Below are 20764 nucleotides of genomic sequence, written 5' to 3'. Positions count from 1 at the left end.
TTTTTACAAAATCCTAGACTATTAGAGTGGAACAGACCTTCCAGGATGATCTAGTTCAATGCTTGCATTTTACAGCTGCAGGAACTGATGCACAAGGAAGTCCAGTGTTTCTAGGGGGTAAACTATAGAGTTCAAGTCTGGCCCAGAGGAGTCCAGACTTATAGGACCCTAAGAATTAGGTCAAAAGGGATTTGACCTAAACAACAGGGAAAGCCTGGTTCTTAGGGTGTGATCTTTTGCTTTGTGAACACAGCACTGATTTGCAAGTGTATATTTTTTTCTTAAGATTCCAGACAATTCCATAAAGAAGCCCAAAACTCTCAGCACTAAGAGGTGAGCTTTGGAGACAATCTTTGAAACAGAAAGCATAAGAAACAGGAGGATGCCCCTCAGTGACTCAGGATCTCTTTTATGTGTTTTGAAATATACACAGACATGAGATGCCGTCAAGACCCCAACATGTTTCCCCGGCAGGTTCCTTTTTCAGTTAAAGAAACAACCGGATGGAAGAGAGACAGAAAGGATTTCAGAGGAAAATGCGATGTCGCTCAAACAAAACAGGATCCATGATCAGAATGTAGCAGGTCCCCAGAAAATAAGAGGGAGAGAAAACCAACACAGTCTAGTCTTTTGTTCATTTTACTTATTTTCTGAGATGGAGTCTCGCTCTGTTTCCCAGGCTGCAGTGCAATGGTGTGATCTCAGCTCACTGCAACCTCCACCTCCCGGGTTCGGGCCATTCTCCTGCCTCAGCCTCCCAAGTAGCTGAGATTATAGGTGCACACCACCATGCCTGGCTAAGTTTTGTATTTTTAATAGAGAAGGGGTTTTACCATGTTGGTCAGGCTGGTCTTGAACTGCTGACCTCAAGTGATCCACCTGCCTCGGCCTCCCAAAATGCTGGGATTACAGGCATGAGCCATCGCGCCTGGCCCAATATAGCCTTTGAAGTGCACATTTCAGTTGGCATTCTGCATTGGGAAATACTTTCGTTTTGTTTGTGGAAGAAGGAAAGGAGAGAGAAAATGTGTGGTGCAAAGAGGCTTTGAAATGACTTGCCTTTGGGGCCAGGTTGGGATCTCTTTCTCCAGGCTCACCTCCCCCCACCACCTTTTTCACTTTATGGTCCAAACACATCATAGTTCCCTGCACTTGCCATGTTGTTTCAAGCCTCTGTGATTTTATATGGATTGCTCTGTCTGCCTTAGAATTCTTTTTCTTTCCTTTTGCATGGCAAAATCCATTTCCTTTTCCTTTTTCTCTATCACTTTCTCTGAGAGAGCTTTTCTAATAACTTTTGCCCAGTCTGTGTAAGGTACCTTCCCATGTGACCCAACAATGTCCTGTGCCTCTATCACAGCCCTAAGTCTACTGCATTGAAATAATTGTTTATGATTATATTTTCCAACTAGACAATGGGGTCCTTGTAGACAGGGAGATCTATTACTCATTTTTTATTTCTCCAGCGACAAGTCCAGTTCCTGACACCTTGTAGGTATGCAATAAGTGTTTACCAAGACTCCTGCAGTAATCACTGGTGGACCACGTAAGAACATTGTTCAAAAGAAAAAAAGGCTGGGCGCAGTGGCTCACGCCTGTAATCCCAAGTTTGGGAGGCCGAGGCGGGCAGATAATGAGGTCAGGAGATCGAGACCATCCTGGACACAGTGAAACCCCGTCTCTACTAAAAAATACAAAAAATTAGCTGGGTGTGGTGGTGGGCGCCTGTAGTCCCAGCTACTCGGGAGGCTGAGGCAGGAGAATGGCGTAAACCAGGGAGGCGGAGCTTGCAGTGAGCCGAGATCACGCCACTGCACTCCAGCCTGGGCGACAGAGCGAGACTCCGTCTCAAAAAAAAAAAAAAAAAAAAAAAAAAAACACAAAACAGGCGTGCTTGAGGCTGAATGACAAAATTCAGTCAAAGAACAAGAGGGGCTAAGTGGGATGGGAGGGAGGGTCTGTAGAGTCCTGATCCCTGGGTGTCCCCTTTCAAACAGCAGGAAATTCCATCAAACACCACATAAGCCAAAGTATGAACTTTGACTTACCATGACTGACTTTGAATTTCAAATCCTCCTAAGCACTTTAATAATGCAGTAAAATATCCTCTCAAACACCAGGGGTTCAGTCTAGGTCCTGTTACTCTCTGTACAGAAAGCCAATCACTGGGACAATGGTTATTGCTAAGGAAGAAGACTTTAATTGGGTGCTGCAGCTGAGGAGATGGGAGCTTAGTCTCAAATCCATCTCCCTAACAGACTAAAATTAGGGGTTTATATAGCAGGAAGGAAATGTAACTTGGGAGGGGTAAGGAAGCAATCAGGATGAATAAGTGGTCTGGCTTCTCATTGCCTGGATGTGATGATCTGGTGAGTTTCAGCTCTTTGATACTTTTTGAAAGTCTGGGGCAGGGGAGTGGGGATCCTTTCCTGAGGAAGGAACTCTGATAAAACAAATGTAAGCTTCAAGCTTTAAGACCAGAAGGGTCAATTTCTATGTTTACTGGGAGGAAAAAAAACAAACTGTCAATGGCAGGGGTCTCCCCCAACCCTCAGGCTGCAGACGGGTGGTAGTCTGTAGCCTGTTAGGAAATGGGCCACACAGCAGGAGGTGAGCAGTGGGCAAGCAAAGCTTCATCTTTATTTACAGCTGCTCCCCATAGCTGGCATTACTACCTGAGCTCTGCCTCCTGCCAGATCAGCAGCAACATTCAATTCTCATAGGAGCACGAACCCTATTGTGAACTGCACATATGAGGGATCTAGGTTGCCTGTTCCTTATGAAAATCTAACACCTGATGATCTGTCAGTGTCTCCCATCGTGACCATATGGGACTGTCTAGTTGCAGGAAAACAAGGTCAGGACTCTCACTGATTCTACATTGTGGTGAGTTGTATAATTATTTCATTATATATTGCAATGTTATCATAATAGAAATAAAATCCGCAATAAATGTGATATGCTTGAATCATCCCAAACCATCCCCCAACAACCTGGGTTTGTGGAAAAATTGTCTTCCATGAAACCGGTCCCTGGTGCCATAAAAGGTTGGGGACTATTGGTCTATGGGACTATTGAGTTGGTTTCAATTCCATGAGTGACCATTACTGTCTTGATCACTCCTATTTCTGCTATGCCTGACACATATTTGTCAAATGAATAAATAAATACATAATAAATGAAAGTCATGGGATACCTGTATGACCTTTGGCAAACTTCATAATCTCTTTCATATATAATTGTTTCATATATATATAAATATATATGTGAAACATATATATGTGATATATATTAAGCATATATATGTTTCCTCATTTTTGACATGGGGATAATTCCTTAGGCAAAACCCTAACATCAATCCTTGATTCCTTTTTCTCATCGCCTGTAAGCCAATCCCTAAATAAGCTCTGAGAACTCCACCTCCAAAACACAGTCCAAATTCATCTCCATCCCTTCATCTTTCCTATCACTCCATCCCAGCCAAGTCCTTTCATCTTCTGAATGGCTGCAAAGCTTCCTAATTCATTTTCTTACTTTCATTCTTTTCCCCTACCCATAATCTATTTATTCACTAAAGAACAGCCAGATTGATTTTGTAAAATATAAAACAAATCACAGCACTCCTCTTAGAATGGAATAAAACTCCTGAGCTTGGTTTACCCAGTCGTTTATGACTGTCCCCCTACCAGTACCTACAGCTTCATCCCCTTTCATCTTCACTCCCCAAACACACAGGACCTTTTTGCTGTTCCTTCAACTCACCACGATCTTTTCAATTCAAGGCCTTTTGCACTCACTGTAACCCCTGCCTGAAATGCCCTGATTTTCACATGGTTGTCTTATTCTTGTCATTCAGACTTCTTACCTTAAAAGGCACCTCCTCAGAGAGGCCTTCCCCAGTGAGCTGCTCTAAAATAGTCACTATCTTTATCACATCAGATGATTTAATAATCTTCAGAGATTTGTTCACAGTCTTCTATTTTTATTTTATTTATTTGTTTGATGTTACAGGTCTCCCTCACCAGGCTGTAACTCCATGGATAGAAAGTACCTTGTAATTCATGGCTAGGTCCACAGTACCTAGAACAGTTCTAATAATTCATAAATATTGGTTGGATAAATATATCAATCCCTGCATCTTACTGTAGTTTTGAAGATTAAACGGTATAATTCATGTAAAGCACTTCTTAACCCACTATCTGACACATACATAACATGCAACAAATATAGTTTCTTAAATCGTATATTACTTTGCATTAAATAAAAAGTTCCCACCTTGAAGCTTCTATTTCTATATCAATTCTGTCAAAACCACTGGGTGTTGAGATCGGGGAGGTCCTCCAGGCAGAATTGATTTGTTTCTGCTTTCTATGTTTTGAGGAGTGCTACATGCCAATATTCTGTTACCTGTAGAGGAAAGAAGAAGAGGGATGTAAGTCAAGATTATGCTCAGCTGCAAGTAACAGAAACCAAGAAAAAAATGATTTAAACAGGCAAGGGGTATTTTTTTCTCACACAGCAAGAAGTCAGTCTAGTGCTCACACCCAGGGCCCTTCTATCTTCCTGCATCTTCATCCTTCTTGTTAGGGCTTCTGAGTATGGCCACATATACTGCACATTGCACAGCATCAGGCAGTGGCACATTCATTTCTTACTGTATATAAATAGCACTATCTGGTATTACACAATATGTATCATATATGTGCTTCTGGTTGCAAGAATGATGTTGCATCTCCAGGCATTGCATCCAAATTCCAAACAGTAAAAAATCAGATGCAAGAATAGCTGTGTTATTTAAAAAAGAACACACACAAACAAACAACTTTCCTGTGGCTACTACTAGATTTACTGAAGTCCAGAGAGGTAAGACTTAGCTGAGGAAAATTGCTTCCCTGAACAATATAAGAGTTTTATTACCTAGCAAACAAGTGGGAGGGATAACTGTTAGGTAGGCAATTGGCAGTATCTTCTGGAGAAAGACTGCATTAGACAGTTGACAGCTTAATGAAGAGTGTTGGTGTGACAGAAGAAACTGAGGAAGGGTGGGTATTTCAGGGACTCTGGGAAAGGTCAGAAAAAGGAAAAATCAATTATTCAACTCAGTGGGCCAAATCCAAGAAGGCATGTTTAATCACAAATTCCAAAGGGAACTTTGATAAGAATTAAAATCAGTCACAGTTCTGCTTCCAGTCAACATGGATTAACAGGGACTAGGTTTACTTTCTCACCTGAAACATACCCCCTCAAAAAAAAAAAAAAAAAAAAAAGAAAGAAAGAAAGAAAAGAAAAAGTAAAAGGAACAAAAAGAACAAAGAAAATAAACCTTATCAGACATGTGAAGTAATTACTTTAAAGAGAAGTATCTTGCCTTGGTAATGGAAAATAGCCCAAATCAGCCCAAGACTGAGCACTGTTCTAGTCCTGCCTAACAAATATTAAAAGCAAAATCTGATAGAATAAAACTTTTCCAAGTAATTTAACTGTGCCCCATAACAAAACTCAAGAATACTTACAGAGACAGAAAGTTAGTCAGAATCCAACAAGGCATAATTTACAATGACTGGCATCTAATCAAAAATTAACAGGCATATAAAGAAGCAGAAAAATATGACCCATAGTGAGGAGAATAATTAAATAATCAAAACTGATCCAGCACTGGCCTAGATGTTAGAATTAACATGCAAGGACATTAAAATCGTTATTATAACTGTATTCAAGATATCAAAACTTTGAATAAATACGTGGGAAATAGTAAAAAGACATGGACATTCTTAAGATGAAAACTACAATGTAAGAGATTTTAAAAACAGTAGATGGAATTAATGGGAGATTAAACATGACAGAAGAAAAGACTTGAAGACATAGCAAGAGAAACTATCAAAAATGAAATTAAAAGAGAAAAGATCATTTAAAAATTTTAGCAGAGGCCGGGCATTGTGGCTCACGCCTGTAATCCCAGCACTTTGGGAGGCCGAGGTGGGCGGATCACGAGGTCAGGAGATCAAGATCTTCCTGGCTAACATGGTGAAACCCCATCTCTACTAAAAATACAAAAAAATTAACCGGGCTTGGTGGCGGGTGCCTGTAGTCCCAGCTGCTGGGAAGGCTGAGGCAGGACAATGGCATGAACCTGGGAGGCGGAGCTTGGAGTGAGCCGAGATTGTTCCACGGCACTCCAGCCTGGGCGACAGGGCAAGACTCCGTCTCAAAAAAAAAAAAAAAAAAAAAAAAAAAAAAAATTTAGCAGAGCGTTAATAAGCTCTAAATGAAGGGATGAATTCAAACAGGCAAATATATGCTTAATTGGATTCCCCAAATGAGGGGACAGAGGAGAAAAATATTTGAACAAGAGTTGCCAGAGCCAAAATTTCAGAGCTAGTTTAGATAGGAAATTGTAGTGAAAGCAAATTAGAATAAGCAAGGGTGGGTGACATTGCTTCAATTATTCACATCTGTGGGCCAGCAAGTATATGTTTTCCAGATCAATGAGCCCACTTAAAGAGTCAGAACAGGGAATGAAAACACAGCACTAAGCTCTCCTTTTCAAGAAGAGTTTACTCATATCTGCTCCCATAAAATGGAACACGCTCCTCTAGACCATCTCATTCTCCAGAAACAAGACACTTCCATGTAGAGCTTGGGTCACTCACTGACCCTTTCCTCCCTTGTCTTTGTGATTCTCTGTGAGTTACACTAAGAAGAACAGGCAATGGTCAGTCTTTCTTTGTCCTCTCCTTGTTTTTCTTGCTATAACACTAGCTGACCTGTATCTGATATTCTGTGTAAGGAATATCTTAGATTACAGTGACTTTTGCTTATCTGTGGCTGTGTTCTCTAAGGCTGCTGTGTTACTCACGGTGGGCTAGGCTTTGCTGCAATTAAGAGAAAGCCCTAAATTCTGGTGGATTGACACATAAAAGCTGATTTCTTGCTCAAAGTCCACTGCAGGTCAGGTAGCTCCCTGGGGCATTCTCTTTCATGTTTGCTCAGGGATCTGATCTACTTTCTTCCTGTGGCCACCTCAATTGATGCATTCCAAGGTTGTCACTGCAGGGGAAGCAAAGAGGGAGAGTTGTGCAGAGACTTTTTCCACTTCAGCTTGGAAGGAACACACACTCATCTCCTCTTAATCTACTGACTAGCATTTGTCAGTGCTTATATTCCCATGAGGAAAAAGGAGAGAGTCGGATCTAGAAAAACTCGAATAATTTAAAACAGAGTGGTGTTTCCTAAATGATGGACATAGACTGCAAGTTTGCTTGGATGTTAATAAATTAGCATTTTAAAACATTTAAAAAATGTTATACAATGTAGCAAGAACTTGTGATGACCACAACACAGCCCTTCAGTCCTCCATATTTCAGGACTGCTGTGGCGGACAGTTCCATGCTGCACTGTCAGCCCCATATTAAGGGTGTGTTGTGTTTTCTCTCCATCAGCTGATCAACTCAGACATACACAGAAAAACAAACAATAAGATATGTGAGTCCGTGGATAAATGCCTCAGCCTTTCTATCCTCCAGAAGGACAATTCTGTGATGCATTCTAGATGGATCTTTAGGGTTCCAGCAAGACTGAACCCCAGTTGTCCACAGCAGTAACTATTTCATTAATACACTTTGATTGTCTTTCCTCCTATCCTGCCTCATTTTTCCCACTTCCTCACTTCTGTTTCTTGAAATCTTCTCTCAGCAAACTAACTGTGCTAAAGTCCTTGTCTTCAGGTCTCATTTTGGGGGCAAGAAAACTAAGATTTACGGTGTTTTTTTGCCCCTGAAATGAGACTCTGAGACAAGGACTTTAACACAGTTCAATGTGTAGTAAAATAAATGTGGAAAATATTGGATTAACTGTGTTTGGTTAATATGTTTTCTTTGTTACAGAATTTTCAGAGCCTTTAATGTATGATTCTTTGATATGGTTTGGCTGTGTCCCATCTCAAATATCACCTTGAATTGTAACAATCCCCATGTGCCAAGGATGGGGCCATATGGAGATAATTGAATCACGGCAGCAGTTTCCCTCATTTTCTTCTCGTGGTAGTGAATAAGTCTCATGAGATCTGTTGGTTTTATGAAGGGCAGTTCCTCTGCACAAGCTCTCTTGCCTGCTGCCATGTAAGATGTGCCTTTGCTTCTCCTTTGCCTTCCACCATGATTCTGAGGCCTTTCCAGCCATGTGGAACTGTGAGCCCATTAAACCTCTTTCCTTCATAAACTACCCAGTCTCGGGTATGTCTTCATTAGCAGCAAGAGAACAGACTAATACACTCCTCATACATTAAATTCTATAGATATTAAATTCAAAAGAAGAATACCGAAATTAGAGTTTCTCTACCTTGGATTGCAAACTTTTATTCCCCAAAGCAACTTTCAGAATTAACACTTCATAACACACATGTGAGGGATGTCTAATCTAAAGCTTTTATAACTTCTCTTATTTTCTTTTCAAATCTCCTATTCTGAGAGGCAACTTTTCTTATTTTTGAATAAATAAAAATATTAAAAACTTTAAAGGTGTAGAAGAGTAAATAGGGGAAAGAAAAGGATTTAAAAATGCATCAAAATACAAACACCTCATTTGATTCCATCACGAAGAGAGAACTGGCTACAATATTGGTGCCTAGCCCCAAGAAGGAGATGTTCAATAGCAGATCCCAAGAGATGACAATAAGTGGCCAAACACTTCCTGGAAAACTTCATACAGCTTCTATTGGAGAATGGTACCATGTACTCTTTAGTTGAAAAGAGCAAACTTCCCACCCACCCCTCCCCTTAATTACTGTGCTTAATGGTGAAATTCAACCCAGCAGGTAGATACCTCCTATATAGATTTCTGAAGTTATCTCATACTCTGGTTAATTGTGTCAGCCTGTAGAGGCTGATTAGCATAATTAATCTTACCCTGTGATTACCCTGAGGAGGAAGATGTTCTGGATGCACAGGTGGGATGTGAGGGAATGAGTGACTGCCTCTGTCTCCAAGGGGCAAAGAAGCATGGGTGGGAGAAGGTTTGAGAACAAGAGCCAGAGTCATTTGGATGAGCACAGAACTGGATTTTATAGGATAGAAGAAGATGAGATGATAGGAAATCTGCACAGGTCGAGGCTCAAAGGCCAGGTTGTGCCCACCCCACATATCTTTATGTATTTGCAGAATTCCAGTTCTTTCTCTTTCTTTCTCTTTCTTTCTTTTTCTTTCTTTCTTTCTTTCTTTCTTTCTTTCTTTCTTTCTTTCTTTCTTTCTTTCTTTTTCTTTTCTTTCTTTCTTTCTTTCTTTCTTTCTTTCTTTCTTTCTCTCTCTCTCTCTCTCTCTGTCTTTCTTTCTCTCTCTCTCTCTTACCTTAAATTACCTTACTTTCTTCTCTTTTTTTTTCTTGGCAGAGTCTTGCTCTGTTGCCCAGGTTGGAGTGCAGTGGCATGATCTCAGCTCACTGCAACCTCCACCTCCAGGTTTCAAGCTGTTCTCCTGCCTCAGCCTCCTGAATAGCTGGGATTACAGACACCCACCATCACGCCTGGCTAATTTTTATATTTTTAGTAGAGATGGGGTTTCACCATGTGGCCAGGCTGCTCTTAAACTCCTGACCTCAAATGATCCACCTGCCTCAGCCTCCCAAAGTGCTGGGATTACAAGTGTGAGCCACAGTGCCCAGCCTCTTTTTTGTTGTTGTTGTTTTATATATATAACAACACATATATTTTATATATGTGTTTTATATACACATATATAAAAAGCAATATATAATGCACATACATATATAAAACAAAAAAGAATACATATATATTTTATTTTTCTTCATAGAGACAGACAGGGTCTCACTATGTTTCTCAGGCTGGTCTCAAACTCCTGATCTCAAGCAATCCTCCCATCTCAGCCTCCCAAAGTGCTGGGATTGCAGATGTGAGTCATACACCTGGACGCTTCTTTCTGGTAAGATTTCTTTGAGGACCAGTCTACAGATTCACCTCCTAGAGTTCTCTTATTACTTGGTGCAGGAATGGACCTCCTATTACTTCTGAGTAGAGCAAGATATTTAGGATAAAATGGTAAAAGCCAATAAAAGAGAAACATAGGATAGAATTAGAGGAAGAAATGAAAGTATGGAAGTATTATATTTAAAAAGTTGGAGGCAGATGGATGCTTGGGTAAATGGATGGATAAGTCTGTGCATCACATTTATATCTGTGGTTATTGGATATAAACATATGAGAAGGAAGAAAAAGCATAGGCACCCTGACTCACTCTTGGCTGTATGACTCTGAGTAAGTCAGGTCTCCTCTCTGAACCTCATCTCCCTGCCCCTCTCCCTGGGCACCAATAATCCGGGTCCAGAACTCAGTCAATAGTTGTTGAATCAATGGAGATAAATATATTTGGTTTCCAGCAACAAGCTTTCTGTGGAGTGGATCTATTTTTCCCCCTTTAAAAGGCCTCTTGAAATATAAGAACATCTTTTAAAATGAGATCTTGCTGCAGATTGATAGGTTCCAATATTAGATGAGAAAGGGAATAAAACTATATCCATTTAAAATCTGACAGAAGAACAGGAAGAATAAAACCCTCTCAGTCTAATGGTAAGACTGAGATGAGTTTTGTTGTAATATCCATTGCTGTTAAGTTTTTCAGTTCTTTTGAAAGGAGATAAAACACCATGAAGGATAGCGACATGTACAATGGGTAAATTTCAGGAGCACTCACACATGAAATTTGTTTTGCAAGTATTCCTTCCTGAAGTGTTTCCACTTTTTAACCACAGGCTTCTTCTAGGGGAGACAAATGAACCTGGTGTTAGGTGAATAGAAAAGAAAGCAAGAAATATGGCTGGTGGCCCAAGATCCTACATGGGAGTGGACGAAGGAGGGAAATGAGGCAAGCTCAACATCTTGCTGCCCCTTGGCTCCATCCAACAGGCAATTCTGGAGAATATCATTAGAGATCCATTCTCTAAATCATGGATGGGCAAATTGTGAGTGTCAGGGTTCTTCCGAGAGATGGAAACAATCAGATATATGAGAGGGGATTTATTAGGGGAAGTGGATCACGGGATCATGGAGTTGAAGAAATCACATGATAGGCCACGTACAAGTTGGAGAAGCAGAGAAGCTGATAGTGTGGCTCAGTCCAAGCCCTGAAGCCTCAAAACCAGGAAAGCCAATGGTACAGTCCCCAGTCTGAGTCTAAATGCCCTAGAACTCCCAGGAGGTGGCTAGTGCCAGGCTCAGAATTCAAAAGCTGAAGAACCTAGAGTCTGATGTCTAAGGTAGGAGGAGAAAAGTGTTCTGCTCTGGGGGAGTGGGAAAAAGAGAGAAAGAAAGAGAGAATCCTCCTTCTTCTGCCATGTTGTCCCAACTGGGCCCCCAGGAGATTGGATGCTACCCCCCCACATAGAAGGCGAGTCTTCCTCTCTCAGTGCACTGATTCACAGGTCAGTCTCTTCTGACAACACACTCACAGACACACCCAGAAACAATGCTTCACCATCCATCTAGGCACTCTTCAATCCAGTCAAGTCAACACATAAAACATTAATCAGCATAAGCCCACCCCTTGTCAACGTGGCAGCCATATGCATCTCTTTAAGCCATACTTAATTTCCAAATAAAGATCATAACAAGGTCATAATTCCACTTAAGATGATACAACTATCCTGAGTACAACCAAAACTGCACTAATCCCATTCCCAGAAGAGGAGGTAAAGTTCTTGAGTGACATTTACATTTCTCCTGATATCCTATAACTTAAGTACCATGATGTAAAATTAACAATGCTTAAGTGCTGATACAAAGTCAGTAAACCTAAATGCTATAATGTAAAATTAACAATGCTTAAATGCTGATACAAAGTTAATCAACATTATGTTACATGATAAAGGAATAAAAGAAGAAAGAAAATAAAGATATTTGCTTAACATATGTGATATATGCACAAATGTATTTTTAACAAAATAGGTGGAAATACTCATTACAGTTACAATCTTCATTTTTGAAACTGGTCATGTGGCTGTAGCTGACATTTATAATTACTTTTTTTAAAAAAACAACAACAACAACAACAACTACCCATTCTGTATTTCCTTTGCCCTCAATAAGCAACTCAGTTGGTCATGGCTTGTTACTTGGTGGGATGACCCAAACCTTCATTCCTAAAGAGTGTGGGCCATTTGTAGTCCTACCTGGATTGAGATGTTGTAGTTTTTCACTGACCCTAATCACAGGGCATGGTAATTTTAAGGGATGCCCTAACGGATCTCCTGTATTCCAGACACACTCTTCCTTACTGCCATTGCGGAGCAGTATTTAATTTCCCCTTGATTGTCCAGATCAATCATCCCAGCCAGCACCATCACTCTCTTCTTAGCCTGTTGACTCAGAAGCATAGAAGCCCCAAGTGGCCGCGTGGCAGTCTTAACTCCCAGTTCAATGGGATCATTGTAGTGTTTCCTAGTAGAAGCATTTCTCCTTCTGGAACTAAGACCTCTAGGCCAGCAGAACATAACATTGTGGGAACAGGAAGTACAAATTTTGCTAGTGGGTCACTAGGGGTAATGGTTAATGGTGCACATCCCCCAATCCACTCAAGCTGATGCCAAAAAAATTAGCCATCACACAAACTTTTTCCGTAAAGGGGCAGATTGCAAATCATGTGGGCCTTTCAGGCCATGCAGTCTCTGTTACTACTAGCCAACTCTGTGGCTATAGCAGGAAGGCAGTCATAAGTAATATGTACCTAAATGGATTTGCCTGTGTTATAATGAAACTACTTGTCAAAACAGGCAGTGGGCCACATTTGACCCATTGGCCATAGTTGGCCAGCCTCTACACTAAATCGTTGCAGCAGCTTTTTCTTTCTGGAGAGGTAGAGGGGGGAGAGAGACAGGTCCATGGAGTCAGACAGATTGGGGCTTGAACCTGGATCTGCCTTCAAAGGTGTATCACCTTGAGATAAATGACTCAGCTTTCTGAGGCTCTGTGGAGATTTGTTGACTTTTCTCCCTAGCATCCTTCCCCTTCTCCTTCCTGAGGTAGCAAGACAACAGGTACCATTTGATATCTTTGTTCTATATTGCAGTTCAACTTCTCCTTATGCCAAATCCTGTGATTCTCATGCCCTTATGGGTATTGTTTCTCCCCAGTCAACCTGGCTTAAGGTGATATCTTTTCAAATCCATGCCCCACAACCTACTAGAAATCCTAGCCTCGTGGACGAAATCTTATTGGACTTTTCCTTTGACCTCCAGTTCTGCCAAAATGAACCTGCCCCACGTTCAACTTCATTTGAGGGATGATTTCTAGCATTATTCTGTGCTTCAAAGCAGCAGTCCTCAACTGGGGTGACTGTGTCCCCAAAACACATCTGGCAATGCCTGGAGGCATTTTTGGTTGCCAGAGTTTGGGCAGAGGGCTGCTGGCATCTAACAAGTAGAGGCTGAGGATGTTGCTAAATGCTCTGCAAATCACAGGAGTAATGCAATGCTCCTTCCTCCACCTACCCAGCCCCCTACCCCCAGAATAGATCATTATTTCTTCCAAAATGTTAATAAGACTGAGGTATAGAAGCCCTGCTACAAGGTTAATGGCAAATAGTAGCCTTTTCTTTGGTAAAAGGTATGTTTTAGGATAATGTCTCCATTATCCTTCCTAAGAAAATCTTTAATCCACTAGGCCCCTAAATATCAACATTAGAAAAAGCTGTCTATCTGTTTGAGGGTTTATGGAAGTCTATCTAGATGTAGGATTTAATGAATTACTCATGTCTTTATTTTTCTGAACTGTAAAAGGTGGGGGGTGGGGGTGGGCATAGAAATAGAACATATCTCGGGAATTTTATGAGGACCAAGGGCTACTAACTATGTGAATTCCTCAGGATAGCGCCCAGTACTTAGTAAGCACTCAACTTCAGCCACCATTTTTATTTACTTTACTGTATATTTGTAGTAAAGGTAGTAGTGGTAGTAAACGGGAAAATTTCCGGTTGCTCTAATCAGGGAAAGCAAATCAGTGGTTTTGGGAAAGAGGGAGGCAATTTCAGCTTGAACCAAAACAAAATTGACATGAAATTCCAAGAAAGGGGCTTTAGCTTTAGACAAGAAACTCTAGTTCAGACTCAAGTTGCAAAATCAAAATACACATTCAAAGCATCTGAGCACTTAGGCTGATAGGGAGAACCAGAGTTGGAGGAAATAGCACCAGTTTTGGGGCTTCAGGATTGTAAGTTTTGGACTGATTTTGCACAAAGCTTAGCAGCCATCCATGAGAAACCCATGGTAAGACAGGCCAGTGAAAGAATGGTGGCATCGACCAAGTGTGATTCTCAAACTCCTCCAACAGGTCAGGGAGGCCTTGGCAACATCTCCCTGCAGATGAGGTGATTATTCTTTAGAGCTACCCTTAATTAAACCCTAAGTGCTAGGTAGCACACTTACCTGGAAAGCTTCCTCCAATCCTCACAATTACTCTATAAAGAAAGTCACAGAGTTAATCTAATTATGCCCATTTTAAAGATAAGGTAACTGAGGCATGGAAAGCTTAAGAGATGAAACTTCTGTGTAATTCTCATGACAGACAAGTAGTGGAATGAGGAGAAAAGAGGATGCAGTTTGAGTCTGAGAGAACCTGGATCTTTCTGTTAATTAGCATTGCCTTTGGGCATAACGTAACTAGGAAAAAATTTTTAAAGAACAATCCTGCCAACTAAATAGTGAAGCAATTAGATGAAAGTCAATATTAACAAGCTTCTGCAATTCCAGGGAGCCAACGGCAGGGATTCAGAAGCCTCTGCCACTTGGCAATTTTGTAGACTTGTGGCCTAAGGGGAAGGGATGTGACACGGGAATCAATTCTTTGCCTGCTGATTAGCCCATTTGCTCGATATTTCCTGAGCAGCCAGCAGTCCTGTCCCAGCCACAACCATGAGGGCGCTGCCAAACTGGAAATGATGAAATAAAGAATCTGCTAAGGAAGCTCTTTCTTTAAGGCAACAGAGCTTCCTGGTTTGTACCTATTCATGACTTACAAATGCTATTTTTTCCTTCTTTTAGACCTTGGCTACCAGAAGCACCAAGCCAAGATCAAGATTATCACTCTCAATAGGTGACGTTTAATTCCTTCATTTCTGCAACTGAGAAGGCAACAGAGCTCCCGAGCAACTCTTCAGAGTAGGTGAAGCCCTCCAGCCACAACAGTCCCAGGAATCTTTCCAGACTCCTCTCTGTGTTCCACAACTTTCAAGAACTCTTTCTCCAAGTACTGCTGATTCCACCTGCACGCTGCCTCTCCTGCCCACATGGTCCTCTCTCTCTCCACACCTGCTACTTAGTTCCCATCCTCACTTTCCTCAGGATTGAACTATTGCAATAGCTTCCTCACGGGTCATGCCATGCTCTTTCTTCCCAATCTATCCTTCACATGAAAGCTATAGTGAACTTTCTACACTGCAGGGTTTTTTGTTTGTTTTTTGAGACAGGGTCTCACTCTGTCACCCAGACAAAACAGAGTGCAATGGCACTATCACAGCTCACTGCAACCTTCCCCCCCCAGGCTCAAGTGATCCTCCCACCTCAGCCTCCCTGGTAGCTGGGACCACAGGCATGTGCCACCACACCCAGCTAACTTTTTTGTATTTTTATTTTTTATTTATTTATTTATTTATTTTTTAAGATGGAGTCTCCCTCTGTCGCTCAGGCTGGAGTGCAATGGTGCGATCTCGGCTCCCTGCAACCTCTGCCTCCCGGGTTCAAGTGATTCTCCTGCCTCGGCCTCCTGAGTAGCTAGGATTACTGGCGCCCGCCACCACGCCTGGCTAATTTTTGTGTTTTTAGTAGAGACGCGGTTTCACCATGTTGGCCAGGCTGGTCTCGAACTTCTGACTTCAGGTGATCCCCCCGCCTCGGCCTCCTAAACTGCTACGATTACACGTGTGAGCCACTGTGCCTGCCCAACTTTTTTATATTTTTAGTACAGACAGGGTTTTACCATGTTGGCCAGGCTGGTTTCGAACTCGTGACCTCAAAGCCATCTGCCTGCCTCTGCCTCCCAAAGTGCTGGGATTACAGGTGTGAGCCACAGCACCCAGCCTACATTGCAGTTTTGCCTGTACCTTAGATGGTCCCAGAACAATAGAATGAAATTAAGCTCATTAACGAGACATAATATCCTCTGAAATCTAGGCCTCACCTAATCCTTCACCCTCATCTCTCACACCTGTTTTCTTCAGGCCTCTGTATTGAGTGATCTGTTAGTTTCCTGAACTTTTTTTACCTTTATACATGCTGTTTCTTTTGTCTGAATTACTTTTTCTTCCTTCTCCAACCTGAATGAGATTAAATAAGTGGTTTGACTCTATTTATTTATTTTTAAAGAATTTTTTTTTTTGGTAGAGGTAGGGGTCTCACCATGTTGCCCAGGCTCATCTTGAACTCCTGGGCTCGAATAATCCTCCCACCTCAGGCTCTTGAGTAGCTGGGACTACAGGTGGATGCCACCATACCCAGCTATTTTTTTTTCTTTAAGCAGAGATGTGGGTCTCACTATGTTGCTCAGCCTGGTCTTGAACTCCTGTCCTCAAGTGATCCTCCTGCCTCAGCCTCCCAAAGTGCTACATGAATAGATTAATAAGACTGGAAAATACTAGGTATGCAACAATTCTTCTTTATTGAATGGGTGAATACTTCCTGGGTGAATACTTCCTTAAGAAAGTAAGTCTAGGCCGGGCACGGTGGCTCACGCCTGTAATCCCAGCACTTTGGGAGGCCGAGGTGGGCGGATCACGAGGTCAGGAGATCGAGACCATCCTGGCTAACACGGTGAAACCCCGTCTCTACTAAAAATACAAAAAATTAGCTGGGCGTGGTGGCGGGCGCCTGTGGTCCCAGCTACTCGAGAGGCTGAGGCAGGAGAATGGCGTGAACCTGGGAGGCGGAGCTTGCAGTGAGCCGAGATCATGCCACTGCACTCTAGCCTGGGTGACAGAGGGTCTCAAAAAAAAAAAAAAAATTAAAAAAAAAAAAAAAGAAAGTCTATAAATCTTTTTTTTTTTTGAGAGGGAGTTTTGCTCTTGTTGCCCAGGCTGGAGTGCAATGGCACAGTCTCGGCTCGCTACAACTTCTGCCTCCAGGGGTCAGGCGATTCCCCAGCCTCAGCCTCACGAGTAGCTGGGTTTACAGGCTTGTGCCACCACGTCCGGCTAATTTTGTATTTTTAGCAGAGACAGAGTTTCATCATGTTGATCAGGCTGGTCTGGAACTCCTGAGCTCAGGTGATCCACCCGCCTTGGCCTCCCAAAGTGCTGGGATTACAGGTGTTAGCCACTGCGCTTGGCTGTAAGTCTATAACTCTTTAGAGAACCACTAAACCTGAAGGGCTAGGTGTCTTGGGTTCAGCCACCAGGACAGTGCCTCAGCCAGTCTTTGAGGACACTAAGAGTTGCCCAAGAGAGGCAAGTGTGCACAGGTTGGGAGAGCTGTCAGAACTGCAGGCTTGAGTTTCTATTAATATTATTGCCATCTCTGCAAGGGTGCCACCTTCATTTGCCAAAGATGTTTGAGCAAATCAAAACTGTCTCGTTGATATGTTGTCTATTGGATAAATGACATGTTGAGAAATGGATTACTGCCTGAGACAGCAAAAGACACAAGTAGAAAGCTGAAAGTGGTTTTAACAAGGAGCGATGAAGGACAAGGATGGGTGTGCTCATGCCATACTGAGCGGCTGGTTGGCAGAAGGTGATGACTCTGGAAGGCAAGTCCAGTTTCTCTGAATGTGGGGCAGGATTTGCCACAAGACCTAACCGTAGTATTCTGCATCATTACAAATCCAGACCAGCTGTAGTCGACCTAGGACAAGTCACACCAGAGAGAAGGAAGGCAGATTCTGCCCATAATATGAATCTCACTAACCTTGGGCTGCTTTAGAGTTAGACCCATGGATCCTCATGAGCACCCTTGTTCTAAGATATCCAACTGATAAGCTCTATCATATCCTTTTAAGCATCAAACAAGTTCTACTCGAACCTATCCATCCATATGTGACAGGCACTGTGGTTGTCCCTAAAAACACAAACTACTAGAAAACTCATGGGCTTTGGAGGAATTACACATTCTTGAGTGCCAGGCCTGATTCTGGCATTTACCAACTGTGGGACATTTGTCAACTCACATAACTTCTGATCTTGGGGTTCCTCCTCTGTAAAGTGGAGCTAATATGATGGATCGGGGGGGCTTGTTGTGAGGATTAGAGAAATGAGCATAAAGTTTCCAGCACACAGTAAATGACTGATATATAATGAGTCTTGATATCATTATGATGTGACCCTGATGATACCATTCTTCTCCATGAGGTGTTCATGGAGCAGCCTCATTTTGAGGTTGCATGTGTGTGTTCTGTTTGTATATCATATAGACCCCCATCTCCCAGAGGACAGGGATGATATTTGTTCTTCTGGTATTTGCCATGAATCCAGGATTGATGGGTATGCAGTAGACACTCAATCACTGTCCATTGAATATGCAAATGGATATGTTTAGGGATAATACTAATAACCATATAGGCTGCGTGTGGTGGCTCGTGTCTGTAATCCCAGCACTTTGGGAGGCTCAGGTGGGAGGATCACTTGAGCCTGGGAGGCAGAGTTTGTAGTGAGCAGAGATCATGCCACTGCACTCTAGCCTAGGCGACAGTGTGAGTGTCCCTGTTAAAAAAATATTCATAATCATATAAAGCTTGATGCTGACTATAAAAATATCTCAGGACTCATACACACTTGTTTCTTTTCCCATACCCCTTATCTCAAGGCAGAGTAGCTTCTAATGGCCAGATAACGGCATGATGCCTTTCCTTTTGTCCTTTGCTTCTAAGTTAATTGTGTTACAACACTTCCATTAAGGTCTCCAGGCATGATATACAGGGTCAATTACAGCCTCCTGTTAGCAAGAGCCAGGCTGGAAAAGGTGAACAGAAATGCACAGTTCCCTCTCTGTGATATGCATACTTTACCCATCTGATAAAAAATCTTCAGTGATATCTGTTTTTGAGGTGGGTCCTAGAGTGCCCAATAATTTGACTAAGGCTGATTTGGAATAACAAAGGTGATAAGGTCCCCCTGAAAAATAAGAGCATTAAAAATAAATAGGCTAGAACATTCCAGGCAAAAGATAAAAGTTATTCAGTACTGTATCTTGCTTCTACTGATACCACTCCCTTTGTATCCTTCTACCCTTGTCCTGTGCATGATGACTTGAGGGGAGGAAGGTGGTATTGAGAGATCTCTATACCACCCTCCTCCCCCCATGTCACCAGAGGAAGAGTGAATGTTTGCTTTATAAAGTTTTTGTCAAAATCCTCTGTCACTAAGTCAAGGCTACACCAGGGCTGCACGTGACTTGTAAGGTACGGGCACATCCTACAAATATCTAGGAATCTTCATTTGGAGTTTCAATAATTTTTTTCTCATTCTATAGAAGCATTTGGCCTGGCACAGTGGCTCACATCTGTAATCCCAGCACTCTGGGAGGCCGAGGTGGGTGGCTCACCTGAGGTCAGCAGTTCGAGACCAGCTTGACCCAACATGGAGAAACCCCATCTCTGCTAAAATTACAAAAATTAGCCAGGCGTGGTGGTGCATGCCTTGGGAGGCCGAGGCAGGAGAATCTCTGGAACCTGAGAAGCGCAGGTTGCAGTGAGCCGAGATCACGCCATTGCACTCCAGCCTGGGAAACAAGAGCGAAACTCCGTCTTAAAAAAAAAACAAAAAACAAAAAACAAAACAAAACAAAACAAAAAAACCCGAGAATTTATTGGAAGTCCACAATAAATATTCAGATATTAAATGTTTACATTCAGTTTGACGAGAATTCAATTTTCACAAGTTAACTGAGCCTCTGTCTTAAATGTTCATCTATTTGAGTTTTATAAATTTTTTTTTTACATCCTCAAGATCTAATCAAGGTTATTCTGCCTCTTCTGCTTTTTCTCCATACATCTGCATAATAGTGTTGTATCTTTGATCCAAATCTCTTAGCTGGATTCTAAGTCTGGGTATCTCTTTCACCTTCTGTTCAAGTTCATCATTTTGATTTGTTAATTTTACTAGTTCTTCAGCCATTGTTGATCGAGTTTTTTCTAGATTACCAATTTCTAGCTGTAAATGAGTAATTTCCCCTTCCCTCCGCTTTATCTGAGACTGAAGGTTTTCAGTAATGCTTGACCCTGCTCCCATCGTTACAGCATCATAAAGTTTGCTTCCATTTGCTGATACAGACACTGGTCCAAATCAGTGATCACGAGACTCATCCTGTGGAGTCTCAATAATTTTTATGATCTCCCATGATCCCCTGAGAGCCACATTTGTTGAAAGAGGAAGGTGACCCATGACAGTCAGTGTCCATAAGAGGTTATTCTTATTCTCCTTTGTGTTTCCTCCAGATACTGCTTGGTTTGATAGGTTGACTGGTACATCGCACTTGGAATGTCTATGTTATCCTTCACTGTTTCCCAAATGCCTAGCATGGTGTATACAATATGGTAGGTGCTCAATATAGGTTCATCCACTCATTGAACAATACTGCAAATATTTACAGAGTTTCTAGTCCATGTCAGACATTGTCATTGAGATAATTGAAGAAGGAAGGAAGAAAGGAAGGAAGGAAGGGAGGAAGAAAGGAAGGAAGGAAGGAAGCAAGGAAGGAAGGAAGGGAGGAAGGAAGGAAAAATATTTTACTTTGGAAGAATTATTTTTAAGGTCTTGCCTAGAGAGGTCCTAGCCATATT

General features: G+C 41.9%; 1 protein-coding gene and 1 pseudogene across 3 annotated transcripts in view, besides 1 other annotated feature; both read right to left on the bottom strand.

Annotated features, from left to right (window-relative positions):
- Positions 1 to 20764, bottom strand: part of SHISA9 (shisa family member 9) — a 661420-nt gene that overhangs the window by 84401 nt on the left and 556255 nt on the right. For 2 of the 3 annotated variants that reach the window (XR_932915.3, XR_007064905.1), the window contains exon 5: positions 4276 to 4407. Coding sequence is in view for 1 of the 3 variants with exons in the window: in XM_011522642.3 (XP_011520944.1) it covers positions 4369 to 4407 (39 nt within the window). In the remaining 2 variants the exon portion in view is untranslated. Of the gene's footprint in view, positions 1 to 3965; positions 4408 to 20764 lie in introns of those variants that run through there. The other variant, XM_011522642.3, reaches the window with a different exon arrangement.
- Positions 18597 to 19098: an enhancer, noted in NCBI's record as "NANOG hESC enhancer chr16:13553376-13553877 (GRCh37/hg19 assembly coordinates)". NCBI's record gives its function as "activates a minimal SCP1, AML or CMV promoter by ChIP-STARR-seq in primed H9 embryonic stem cells {active_cell/tissue: H9 hESC(primed)}" and the evidence as "EXISTENCE:reporter gene assay evidence [ECO:0000049][PMID:30033119]".
- Positions 19784 to 20291, bottom strand: TMF1P1 (TATA element modulatory factor 1 pseudogene 1; annotated as a pseudogene).

Source organism: Homo sapiens, chromosome 16 (assembly GCF_000001405.40).
Source record: "Homo sapiens chromosome 16, GRCh38.p14 Primary Assembly".
Lineage (NCBI taxonomy): Eukaryota > Metazoa > Chordata > Mammalia > Primates > Hominidae > Homo > Homo sapiens.
The sequence above is the reverse complement of the archived record's forward strand: the minus strand, read 5'-3'. Positions and strand labels throughout refer to the sequence as shown.